The sequence below is a fragment of the Homo sapiens genome, chromosome 13, assembly GCF_000001405.40.
Source record: "Homo sapiens chromosome 13, GRCh38.p14 Primary Assembly".
In the NCBI taxonomy this organism is placed as follows: Eukaryota; Metazoa; Chordata; class Mammalia; order Primates; family Hominidae; genus Homo; species Homo sapiens.
The window spans coordinates 108,946,487-108,960,560 of NC_000013.11; the positions used below are offsets into that span (position 1 = coordinate 108,946,487).

At 40.5% G+C, this 14,074-nt stretch overlaps 1 protein-coding gene across 7 annotated transcripts in view; it reads left to right on the forward strand.

Moving 5' to 3' along the window:
• MYO16 (myosin XVI) overlaps window positions 1-14,074 on the forward strand; it is a 712,290-nt gene that overhangs the window by 450,771 nt on the left and 247,445 nt on the right. For all 7 annotated transcript variants that reach the window (XM_011521062.2, XM_047430183.1, NM_015011.3 and 4 more), the window contains one exon: window positions 11,202-11,313. In XM_011521062.2, the coding sequence (XP_011519364.1) occupies window positions 11,202-11,313 (112 nt within the window). The remainder of the gene's footprint in view (window positions 1-11,201; window positions 11,314-14,074) is intronic.

The following is a 14,074-nucleotide window of genomic DNA, read 5'->3' on the forward strand; positions in this document are numbered from 1 at the left end:
GGAAACTTCCAGGTATGTGTAAACCTTCTGTACACCCAATATTAATTTAAATTTTATGAGAATCCACCAGGAATTTTAAGACATGATCTTTATCTGTAAACAAGTTCATGACATTTAATTTTTTGTTAAATAGGAGTTATTAAATATTTAAATGTATGAATAAGTGAAATGCGGAGAAGAGAGTGTATTGGTCAGGGTTCTCCAGAAAAACAGAGCCAATAGCCAAGAGGGTATGGATCTATACAGAGATAGAGATGGATTTTTTTTTTTATTGAGATATAGTCTCGCTCTGTCACCCAGGCTTGAGTGCAGTGGCAGGATCACAGCTCACTGCAGCCCCAGCCTCCTAAGCCCAAGTGATCCTCCCACTTCAGCCTCCCAAATAGCAGGGACTACAGTTACAGGCCACTATGCCCAGCTAATTTTTGTATTTCTTGTAGAGACTGGGTAATTAAAATTTTCTTTTAGTCCTGCTAAGCTGAAAGAGGTTGCTTAATACATTTGTGGGTTACATTCAGCGCGATGTTGTTCACACCATACTTTATCAGCATTTGATGAAGGTCAGGGGTGGGCCTGGATGAACCTGCCTAAGAATACCTTTGTCAGTAGTAACTATCTGTACATGGTCATGTGTCTGAATCAAATAAACTATAATATTTGCATATTACTAAAGTTTTGGTGAAGATGCCTATGTTAGTCGGTATTTAAGACACAGGGTTGGGTTGAAGTTTATCCTTCCTGTTGGTGCTGTGGACATGGCCTTACACATGCTTTCTGGTCACCTTCTCCCCTGAGGAGGACTTCAGCACCTGTTCAGCCTCGCCTGCGGCATATTTCTGTGTGCATGCGCGCTGCCCTCTTCCTGTACAGAACCCTCCCTAGGCTGAGGATGTCTTGGTGTGAGTTAGAGAAAGTTCTGCCCACCTCTCCCTCCAGTCAGATGCAGCTCCCCAGGCCTTGAGTTGTTAAACTAATCCTACCATCTTCGAGGCCAGGCCAACCCACACTTTCTGAGCAAAAAGGTATTTTTCTCTCCATTTCACAGCTTCACTCACTGAAATATCAGCAGTTCTGGGTGTGTGTTTCTGGCTGTGTTTATGCTGGACACAAGGCTCGGGGATGAGTTCAGGCTGCGGTCAGCCCCTTAACCGTTGTCCAGGGCCTTCTGTGCAAGACACAGCCACCCTGTCTGTCTCCACCCCCCGGCTCTCCCAACTAGACGTTTCCAAGAAACAAATAATTGGCCATACGATCATTCACTATGTGTAAGGTGTCAAGAGTTTTGAATTTGTTTCACCAGATGTTTTGAAATATTTCAACTGATTAGAAAAATATGGATGAACTATTCTGGGAATGTCACAAGACCCGAAGACTTTCTGAATGTGTAATTTGTTAAAAGGATTCTGTTCTTTTCCTGAATTTATTAGATTCTGTTCTTTTCCTGGAGACCACTGACAAGATTTTCTCTTTCCAAACAAAACAGTTTGTGACTCATATATTAATACTTTCCAGGTGGAGACTTGTGTATCTGAACGCATGGTTAATAAAAAGTTGTACTCATATTCCTTGAGGAGGGGGAGACTTAAAATTTAAAATTAGTTAATATGTTTCAGATAGTTCGAAAACAATACAGAAAAGAATTTCTGTTTTAGGAGCAAAGTGAGGGTGCATGGGCAAAAAGCAGCACTTGGCCATCGTCATTAGCAAAGTGTGCTGTCTTTATTGATACCAACTGTTTAATTTTGCCTTATTTGGCTTCTGTTTATATATTAAACATCACCAAGTAAAAAATAGCTCTGCGCACAATAGAGAAGACACTGTTCCTTTGTATTCGCACAGCAGATAAAAAAACTGAGCAACACATTGTGTTTGTACTCTGCGAGTCTCTGACTTGGTGAATGGACTAAACAAGTTTGTCTTTAAGTAGTAACATTTTTATTTATACTTGAACCTTCAATCCCAGCATGCCTTGGGTACACAAGTAGGCACACAAGGATTGTTTCATGCGCGCTGATCTCTGCGCCTGCTGAGTGGGGCCACACCTGCACCCTGGAGACACAGTAGGTGCGGCCTCAGGGAGAGCACACAGGCCTTTGAAGTTCCATGGGGATGTTTTTGGCAAACAGTCAATGTTTGTATTTGATCTTTGAATCATATCTATTCCCACTCCTTAGAGTGATGCTTCATGCTGGATGGGAACATTTTTTGTCTGTGCCTCCACATAGCACTTCTTGAAAGAAATCTCCAGTGTGGACTCCTCTGTTCAAAAGGAAAACCCTCCTGTGATTTAGTCCATGGCTTAATCTTACTTATGCGTTCTCAGGTGACACAAGAAACTTATTCCAGAACTAGTTTTACTTTGCCTCAAAGCAAAAGTATTAGCACACACACCCACACTCACACCTCACACCTCACATATATACACAAATTATTTTGGCTATGTTATGGACTCACTTTGGAAGACATAGCATCAGCCTGCTCTTTGTTGTCAGGACAATAAACAAGTTGGTTAAATGGATGAGTTAATTAGAAATAGCACATAGTCAACAGTTGTTGTTACAGACTTATTTTCAATAAATTTAACTTGTAATGAAAACCATTTCTTGTCCAAAGCACAAGTCGAATTTTATACAATTGTAACACATATTCATCTGGTTTGCCACTGTTTCTTCTGTAAGAACGAAGATAACTGTATTGCTGGAGAAGGTGTGCTTTTTTCATACTGATTGATAAAATTTTAATTTAGAAACTTAGTCTAAAGAAGGCACCATCAGGCTTTGTGAAAAAGGGGAGTGCGAAGAACCAAGGAGCTTAAAAAGCAAAAGATCTCCTAAAACTAGTGAGTTCAGCGATTGACAGGATATGAGATCAGTGCGCAAAATCAATCACATATATTAATCATTATGTATTAACAGTGAACGTGTGAAAACTGCAATTTAAAACATAACACCCTTTCCAATTTCTCCAGGAAAATTAAATACTTAAGTATACACTTAACAAAACATGTACAGAATCTGGAGGCTGAAAATGAAAAAAAAATACCAATGAAAGAAAAAGAGACTTATAATGTTCATTTATTGGAAGATTCAATATAGTAAAAATGCCAATCATCCCTAAGGTGATTTATAGGTTTAGTGTAATTCCTGTTAAAATCTTAACAATATTAAGACACGTATGGAAGCTTATTCTAAAATTTGTATGTAAAGGCACAGAACTTCTAATAGCTAAAAAAAATAATGCAAAAGAAGAATAAAATCAGAGGAACTACTCTACCCATATTAAGGCCTACCATGCAGCTAGAGTAATCCAGACATTATGGTATTGGTAGACAGACAGACACAAAGATCAAAGGAAGAGAAGGGAGAATACAGAAATAGACTCACACAAATATACTCACACACCAAAAGGTGATTTTTTGATGAACATACAAAACAATCGAGTGGAGGAAAGATCAACTTCAACAAAAGGTGCTGGACAACTGGGCATCCATAGGCAAAACAAGCAAAAAAAAAAAATAGTAAAGCAAAGCCAAAATCTCACATATTATGGAAAAAATCAAGATGATCAGAGACCTAAATGTAAAGCATAAAGCAATACAATTTTTAGGGAACAAAAGAAGGAAATATTTGGGATCCATGACTAAGCAAAAAGAACTTAAGCTTGACATCAAAATCATAATCCACATTAGGAAAAATTGATAAATTATATGACATCAAAATTTAAAACTCTTATTCAGAAGACTTCATTAAAAATATCAGACAAGGTTCAGGCTGGGAGAAAATATTGCAACCTTCATATCCAACAAAGGACTAATATTTAGAATATATAAACAGCACTCCAAATTAACAGTAGGAAAATAAAAATTGTTCTAGTCCAATTAGAAATGGGCAAAAGACATGAAGGGATATTTCACCAAATATGAATATACGGATAGCACATAAGCATGTGGAAAGGTGTTGAGTGTTATTAACCACTAGATAAACACACATTAAAACCCTGATAAGATACCACCACATACCTATCAGAACAGCTCATGAAAAAACATTGTGACAGCATCAAATGCTGGTGAGGATGTGAAGAAACTCACTGCCCCCTGCATTGCTGGTGGGAATGTAAAATAGTGTACAGCCGTGCTAGAAAAGAGTGTGACAGTTTCTTATAAAACTATAGATGCAACTACCGTATGACCCAGATATTGCACTTCTCAGCATCCGACCAAGAGAAGTGAAGGTGTATGTTTACATAAACACCTCTATGTAAATGTTCATAGTAGCCTTATTCATAAGAGCCCCACTAGGAACACTCTAGATGTTTCTCAGACGGGTAAGTGGCTAGACACACTGCTGTGTGTTAACACTGGAATACTGCTCGGCAGCAGAGTGGAACAGTTTAGCCGTACACAGCATGAATCCACAGAAAACTGTGCTCCCAGTTTTTGATTCATAGTTTGGTAGAGCTTCTTTATTTTTCCCTTTCGAAAAATTTGTATTGAGAACTTTATAAACTTGATAACAGATGTAGGGATGATTTAAAAGCATTACCTTCCTCAAAACGTTTTTTTGTTTTTGTTTTTTACTTTAAGTTCTGGGATACATGTGCAGAGCTTCTTTTTCTTATGATTACGCGTAATACTTTTTGATATTTAGAAAGACTGGGGAATATGGAAAAGAACAAAAAAAGAAGAAAACGATTGGTATGCACCACGAACACCTGTCTTGGAGAAACCCCTGTAGATGGGTGCTCAGATTCTTCCAGCTGCTGTCTATTCCTTCCTTTTAGTTGCACTTGGTTTTCTTGGGACTTTTGTGACTAGCTCATAGGGAGACAGAAAAAATGCCAAAACCTCATGATATGAAGTTAATCAATGGAAAGTGAATTATGCATCAACCTAGAGGCCGTGGAGAGCTGGGAGGAGTGGGCGTCTGATGATGAACACTGTGAGGGCAAAGGCTGTGGGGTTGGCTGGACGCCTTCCCCAGGGCCTGTATGTTCCCCAGGATATCCCTGCCAATTAAATACCTGTTGAAATTATGTTATTAAGTGGCACTTTTCACAGCAATTATGACTTTTATGTGATTTGACACTTTAAGAACATAGAAGTTTATTTTTCCTAGAATTTGCTGTAAGGAGAAATAACCATGCAATTATTATTTAACCAAATAATAATTGGTTAAAATTTGGAGTGAAGAAATGAACAGTATATAAATTAATAAACAATGGCGATGTAGACAGATTTCTGGTGAGGAAAGATATTAACTAGTCTCCTTCAGTTGCCAACTCAACCCAGCACTTAAGATCAAGACACCTCTTCACTGCTTAAAAAATACAACTATCGGCCTGGCGTGGTGGCGCATGCCTGTAATCCCAGCACTTTGGGAGGCTGAGGCAGGCCAGATCACCTGAGGTCAGGAGTTTGAGACTAGCCTTGCCAACATGGCGAAATGCCATCACTACTAAAAAAACACAAAAATTCGCCAGACGTGGTGGTGGGCGCCTGTAGTCCCAGCCACTCCACTCAGGAGACTGAGACAGGAGAATTGCTTGAACCTGGGAGGCGGAGGTTGCAGTGAGCTGAGATCATGCCATTGCACTCCAGCCTGGGAAAAACGAGTGAGACTCCATCTCAATAAATAAATAAATAAATAAATAAATAAATAAATAAATAAATAAATAAAACGATATATAGTTGATATCAGTGTTATTAAAATTTCTATGGAATTGGACTACCAAATTTCTACAGTGTTTTTATCCTTTTTCTGTAAATGAAATGTAGGAGGCTTTAGGAATTGCTGACTTTCAGGAGAGGTGGAACAGAAAGACCTTCAGTGCGTCCCATCCGCCTTGCAGGAAACTCCTAAGCTTGAGAGACACTGGGCTCAGGGGCAAGACGGGGTGTGTTGGTTCGCCAATGACTAGCTTCACAACTTTAAACAAACTTCAGTGCCCTTATTTCTGAAATATGTAAAATAATGGCTTCTTTTGTGAATTGTTGTGGAGACTAATGGAGGAAGTGCCTCAAAAACACCCAGTGGAGAATTTGGCCCATCAGTATCAAGAAATACTAGTTCCCATCGCCTTTCCCTTTGAGTGGAATTAAACAGTATTAATCCATCTGTAGTTTTTATTCCTCTATAGCACCAATGTTAACAGTCTTCTACCCCATGATAGAAACAACAGCCAGAATATTCCCTTGATCTGCCAATCTTTTAAAAACAAAACAGCAATTACTCTTCACAAATGCTCTCTGAAATTTCTGACTCTGCACATGGAGATATCTAGATACTGCCAGTGTTCCAAGTTCCAAAGAGGATAAGAAAATAGGCTTAAGCTATAGATATGCAATTTTGACTCATAGAAGAATAATATAGAAGATACTGAATATTAAGTTAAAGGGTATGAACGCTAGAGGTTATGTGACCATGAATCAATAATGGGGCAAAATTGGAAACTCTCAGATGAAACTCTTGCTTTGATTTATCTAGGATGTTTCTCAACCACTGTGTTGAGATTAGTGGGATAACATCTGTGGAGCTGAAGCGAGTCCACTGGCCACTGGGAAGTCCATGACCCATTACCCACCATTATTCTTACCTATTTCAAACTGTTAAAAAACAAAAAAAGTCTGGGAATGCCATTGTAACATTGCATCAATGATTGTCAACTTTCAGGTGATTCACGTCAGTATACAACAGCCAAGTGTAAACTACGATCTTTTCCTTTTACCTATTTGTTACTTTTATCTGTCTGAGGAGTATAGAAAAGCATATTTTATGGTTTAAGATGATTAAAATTTTTCAAAATGTTTATTTTACTCGGCACAGTTATTTATTTGATTAAGAGCTTCATTAATGACAGAGTACATTGACTAAAAGTTGCCTGCATAGGCAAGATGTAGTCATTCTGGGAAATACTCACATTCTGTACATGCATTGCAACCTGAGTGTAGGAGGCATACCACATGCAATATCTCATTTGTCATTCACAAAATCACTGTGAACTAGAAATGGAGAATTTTTAAACCTATTTTTAATATATTTTTACTCTGTTTTACCGATAATAAAGATTTAAATGTTTTGAGTTTTGTTTTTTTTTTTTTAGAAATTGTCAAATATTACTTAAATATGTCTCCAGATTCTTGGTTTCCATATTTTACCATGCATATTTTCCAAGTTTTTTTGCCCTTATGTGAGATTTCGTGATGGAGTGATGTCAAAGGGAAAATTAGTATTTTTAATCTCCAAAAAATAAACATGTAGTTTTTTTAATTCCCATTTTAAGATATAGTTTTGCTGATAATTAAGAACCTCATTTCTAGTGAAATCATCCTAGATGCTTTTGAATAGTGGGAGAAGTTTAAGCATTGTATAAAAGGCATTGTGTTTTTTTCTTCGTCTTTATGACAAGTTTTCTGGCTACAGAGGAAAATGCTCACAACCAAGCTGAAGCCATCTTTCCTGCCATCAGGCAAACTGCCCTTTCAGATTGTCTGTTTTGAATTGGTTCCCACCTGACCCATTACGTAGTTAACAGACCTGTCTGCAACTACCGGGATTTCTTCACAGGGCTTCGTCTACCCAGAATTAACTGAAATAAACATGCCGCTGTATTCGCACTTTCTCATGGAGCAGGTCATAGCTGCTGTAAATTCTAGGCTAAAAAGTAAAATAAAATGGAGGATGGGGAGGTTTAAAGAAATACTTAAGCTAGCTGGTGCAGGGCTGCAGGGAGCTTACTAATTAATTACTTATCAAGAATTGTAAAAGAAATTTTTTTTTGCCCCTTTGACTCTAATGAAAACAGGAGCCAATTGTTATTTGCAAAACAAGTGGCCCCTCAATGGATTATTAACCTGTGCAATGATCAAGTAAGTCAGAAAAAAAGAGAATGTCAGGAAGATGCATAGAAACCTGCTGCGAGGACCAGAAGTATGGAGAGGGGTTACAGTTTTTTATCATTAAGGTTTATCACTAGGGCCAGCGTGTGGTGGCTCACACCTGTAATTCCAGCACTTTGGGAGGCCAAGGCATGCAGACTGCTTGGGATCAGGAGTTCAAGACCAGCCTGGGCAACATGGCAAGACCCTGTCTCTACTAAAAATACAAAGAATTAGCCAGGCGTGGCGACATGTGCCTGTGATCCCAGCTATTCGGGAGGCTGAGGTGGGAGGGTCACTTGTGCCTGGGAGGCAGAGCTGCACTGAGTTGAGGTCACACCATGCCCTCCAGCCTGGAGACAGAGCAAGACCCTGTATAATAATAGTAATAATAATAATAAACATTTATTGCTAAAGGTTTATAGATTGCAGACAGAAAGACCCTCTGACCATGGTAAGCCAGTTTCTTACTGATATCATTGTCCTTGACCTTTTCCTGTTCCACTGCTCCAAACCCCAGCTTGCTCACCCTCCATCAGGCATTTGAGGAGCCCTAGAAGAAGTAACACCACCCCAGGAGCTGGTCGCCACTGCCACCTGGGCACGGCATCCTGCGGCATCAGCTGAGCTCCTGCTGCTCTCTGCTCCGCAGCTGTGTCCCTTCTCCGCAGCAAATGTCTTAGGTTCCCACGACCTTCACCTAGTCATCGAAACCTCCAACCTCTTTCTCTCCTGGAAAAACCAAAGCCACAACCATTGGTTGCCCTGCTCCCCTGAGATGGCACCAGCCTTCAGGGTCATGTTTGTCACCTTACCTGTGTCGTCCTAGAAAGTCAGGTCATTTCTGCAGCGAGAGGCAGACCTTCCCTGTGCACCAACTCCACACCCTCTCCTTACCTCATCCATGTCCCCCTCTTCAGGATTTTCCGCAGCTCCTTTTCTTGAAGTCTTTTATGTGGTTTTTTGGTGCTTCTATCTCAGCAGATTCATATTCCAAAGTCTCTCCCACACCCCACTCCAGCCCCTAGATTGTTCTTCCACCATCAGCCGAGATTGGGGAAAAAGAAGTTCTCACAGATCCAGCTCACATGGCCACCATGGTCTGCTTCTCCCTTCCAATTCCAGGAAACATTCCCTTTGTCAAGGGCACAATTTCCTGGTTTCTGTGGTCTCTTTTCCATCACTATCATTCAGTCTTAAAGTCACCTTCTCCAGCCAGGCGCGGTGGCTCATGCCTGTAAACCCAGCATTTTGGAAGGCCAAGGCGGGTGGATCACGAGGTAAGGAGTTCAACCAGCCTGGCCAAGATGGTGAAAACTCGTCTCTACTAAAAATACAAAAATTAGCCGGGCACGGTGGCAGGCGCCTGTAATCCCAGCTACCCAGGAGGCTGAGGCAGCGGAATTGCTTGAACCCGGGAGGTGAAGGTTGCAGTGAGCCAAGATTGCCCCACTGCACTCCAGCCTGGGCAACAGAGGGAGATTCTATCTCAAAACAAAACAAAACAAAACAAAAAACACCTTCTCCTTTTGTTTTAATGACTCAGATTTTTTGTAACATTCTTACTCTGTCCTGGACACGCCATTCTTTCCTCAGCCCTAATTCCAGCGTCTCATTTTGAGTGAGCTCACCCACTCCCATGGTTTTAGCCTTCTGCGTATTGATGACTTCCAGATCCTATTCTCTAGTGTTTTTCTGAATTCCAGATCTTTATAGCTATTATTTCTTGGGACTACATTTAAACTTTAACAAGTAATTTAAAGTCAATATGTCTAATATCAAATATAAGACTTTATCTCTCCAGAAACCTATTCCTCCTCTTGAGAATGTTTTCCAGTTGAATGGGCCCGCAATCCACCCTGTTTTCCCAGACAGAGACTTGCTACTCATCATGAGCTCCCTGCTTTCCACCTCCCCGTGCCCAGTTCACCCCCTTGTACTGCCAGCTCTCTCTCCTCCCTTCCCCTCTCCCCATCCGTCCTCTTCTTCACCACTGCTGGCCTCTCACTGGGCCACACACTCCCCTTACTTGCCTTACCTCTTTGCAGGTAATCTTGCCCTGGGCTACCAGGATATTCTTTCCAAGGCGCCAACATGATCATGCCACTTCTTTGTTGCAAGGCCCTCAGAGCTGCCTGTCACTTCCAAGACATGACAAACTCTTTTTTTTTCCAAGCTATACAAAGCCCTGGCTACTTCTCCAATCTCATCAATCTTTGCTCATCTCACCGTAGGCTCCAATTTTGCACACATGGATATATTTTCCCCGTATGCATCATGCTTGACCAATTCTTTCTGCTTTGTACATATTCTAATTATTCCAGGGATAACCTGAAAGCCTGGGAGTTGCTTGGCAAATTCTTGGAATCACAGCCTGCCTTTCGCCACTGTGTTTCCTCATTGCCTACTTCTGGTTGCAGCCCCTTCCTGCACACTTATACCTAGACTCTATCTCTCTGATTTTACCTCCCTTATCTGTGCCCCTGGATAGTTTATTTTGCTGTTGTTGAGTCCTTTTCCTTCACATTCTCAGCTGCTTGGTATTGCCTGTATTAGATAGGTGATTCGTACATGTTTGTTGAGGGAAAGGAGTAAATCAATGGCATAATCAACCATCTCATTATTGAAAAGTACCAACAAGGAAAAATAATAACTTACTATAAACTAGGCATCTTTAGTTCAAATATTAATTACAAACCATATGATAGAACCTGTTGAATTTTTGTATGAAATTCATGAGTCACGGCCAGGTGCGGTGGCTCACGCCTGTAATCCCAGCACTTTGGGAGGCCGAGGTGGGTGGATCACAAGGTCAGGAGTTTGAGACCAGCCTGAACAACATGGTGAAACCCCGTCTCTACTAAAAATACAAAAATTAGCCGGGCGTGGTGGCACGCACCTGTAATCCCAGCTAGTCAAGAGGTTGAGGCAGGAGAAACGCTTGAACCTGGGAGGTGGAGGTTGCAGTGAGCCAAGACTGTGCACTGTGCTCCAGCCTGGATGACAAGAGTGAAACTCCATCTCAAAAAAAAAAAAAAAAAACAAAAACATGAATCACTTGTGACCTTCTCCTGTCACAAGGAAAGGTGCAGCTAAGATGAAAACCGAGTAAAGCAATGTAAATATGTCCTGGTACAACAAGAACTAATGTTTTCCTTTCCTGAGATATCATGTGCTGTGATGCACCAAATGCTTTGAAAACACGTGGGGACACCATGTCCAGGTGATTCCCATCATTTTAGAGATCAAATACGGCAGAAGTGACTTTTAACCACAGAAGTCTGACCGGAAGCCAGGCGATAACGTTACGTGCCTTGTCTCCTAACAGGTATTTGAACCAGACCATACAGGATGATGCATCCACAGGGGAGCGTTCTCTGAACAGGGAGAAATTGGCTGTTTTGAAACGAGCCCTGAATGTAGTTGGCTTCAGCAGCTTGGTGAGTCATGTCATAAATATTTCACTGAGAAAATCAACCTTCTACTAATTTATAAAAGTTATTCATTCAAAAGCATTTACTGAGCCCCTATGACATTCCAGATGTTGCCGAGGACACTGATGATTCGGCAGACAACAAGCCCCAATCCCTGCCTCCTAGAGCTGACATGCTAGTGGAGGCAGGGGGCAGGACTTCATCCACATGTTGAGGAAGAAAGGAACTAGGAAGAAAACAGAGCAGTCAGCAGAGAGTGGCAAGAGGAGAGGGTGCAGTTTCCAAGAGGGTGGACAAGGAGCCCTTTCCCAAAATGAATATAATATATACATTATATATATTTTTAAATATATATTTATAATATATCATTTTAAAATATTTAAAATATATTTTAATCATAAACTTTATAAATTATATTTATAAAATATAATTTAATATATTTAAATATATATAATATTCAACATATATATTTTATATATGTATCCAAAACAGATCAAATAACTTTATACTTGATCAACTCATGAAAAAACTGGTAAACCTGAAGTAACTGTTCATGTAAAGAATCACTTGAAAATTAACATAATCACCTTGTTAAAACATCTTCTTGAACAATATAAATGTTTTAATATTGTCATATTTAATTGCACAGAATGGCCAAGTACCTGCAAGCATTATGAAGCTGAAAAATTACACTTTAAAACTTTTAGATCATGGCCGTGCCGTAGAAACATCTATGATGATGGAAAAGTTAGTGACCTGCATGGTGCTGTACCACAGGGTAGTTTCCAGCCACGTGTGGCTCCTGGATGCTTGAAGTGTGGCTAGTGGGCTGAAGAAATAAATGTTTAATATTTCTTTATTTTAATTAATGTAAATTGACATAGCCATGTGTGGTTAGTGGTTACTGAATCAAACAGCACCCAGCCAGTGAATAAGACATAAGAAATGGTCTAAGACTTGAGAGAAACCTCTCAGAATTCCCTTCAATCTCTATTTCCCAGAGGCATTATCTCTGCCTCCATTCAACATGGTGGTGTTTTGGATTATGGTCAATTTACGGCCAATTCCTCAAGAATATTTAATATAATATCACAGGGATAACTTGGACATGCCAGTAGTTCACAAGCCCAGATTAGGTCACAGATTTAAATCTCTTCTATTTATTTTTCTGAAGCCAATACATGGATGGATTTGGGTCTGTGTTTATTTCCCTGCCCACACCGTTATGGCTGACGGGGCAGTGAGTAGGTGGGGAGGGTGGAGAGGTCCACAGGAGGAAGGGGAAGGAAGTGAGGCCCACCCTAAATGAGTGAATGCAGGGGCACCTTGCTGCACCCACCCTTGCTGTTTTGAGAGACTGGAACTCGAGGAGCCTGCAATCACATGGCATCTCATTCTTTTTGGCTCTGATTACCCGGCCTCTGTTTTTCTCCTTTAGTTTTTCTCCTTTACTGAGTCCTACCCACTGGCACTGTTCTGTCTTTGCACTTGCTGCTGTGGTACTTTTTTGTTTTGATTTTTTTCCCTCCTTCCATGCCTGAAATGTCTGCTTCCTCATAGGAAGTGAAGCTAGAGATATGGATAGAAACCATTCTGCCAAAATATCAGTTGCCTGGAAACAGGGCTTTGAAAATTCATGACTGATCCTCAAAGGCAGGGCAAGCAAAGTACACTTTCTGACTAAGGTAACCCAGGGAGACTCATAGCCTTCTTGGTAAAAGAAGTATGCACACCCTAGCAAAAAACATGAAATTAATTTCTTCATCCTGACCCTGGGAGTGACTTGAATGGTGAGTTGAGTCCACTTTAGAGGGATAGATTATGTCCAGTAAGATTCAAAGGAAGGTATTTCTGGGCCAGTGAAGTCCTTGAATCAACACTGGTGATTGTGGTCCTGACAGATCTGTTCGTAACAGTGCCTCCAGCTCTCCCGTCTAGCCGGGCGGCAGGGATGGCTGCTCACTACACAGAGACGCAGAAGCACAGCCTCCTTTCTGCTCAGGAAGGAGTTTATTTTTACTTTTGTCATAGGGTCCACCACACTGTAATGCACATTATAGCTATTTTCACAGCTCTGTAAATTGTGAGGTTCTTGAGGACAGCACAGAGTCTTCGGCTGTCTATCCAGAGGTGCCTATCTTGTAGGTACCGGAACCTTTCATGAAGACTAATTGATTTAAAGGAAAAAAAAAAAAAAAGCTGGGCATGGTGGTGCACGCCTGTAATCCCAGCACTTTGGGAGACCAAGATGAGCGGATTGCTTGAGGCCAGGAGTTCGAGACCAACCTGAACAGCATAGTGAGACCTCCATCTCTACAATTTTTTTCAAAAACATTAGCTGGACACTATTTTTTGCCTGTAGTCCCAGCTACTCAAGAGGCTGAAGTGGGAGGATCACTTGAGCCCGGGAGGTCAAGGCCGTAGTAAGTTATGATTGCGCCACTACACTCCAGCCTGGGCAACAGAGTGAAACCCTGTCTCAAAAAAAAAAAAAAAGGAAAAAAAATAAGTTGACAAGTAGTTAAGAAATTTGAGAGGCTTGAATAATGCCATTTTATACAGCATAAGTAAATTAAATTTGAAAAACAAATTTATGATTTAGGGGTTAACCAAAAACATTTTTATATGTATATCACTTTCATAAAATATTATTATACCTGAAAATTAGAGATCATTCTTTTCAATGCTCTCACTTTAAAATTGGTAAAATCATACCTTATTATGAAAACTACAAGCTCTGGGGAAAATCACGGAAGTCTCAAGAAGT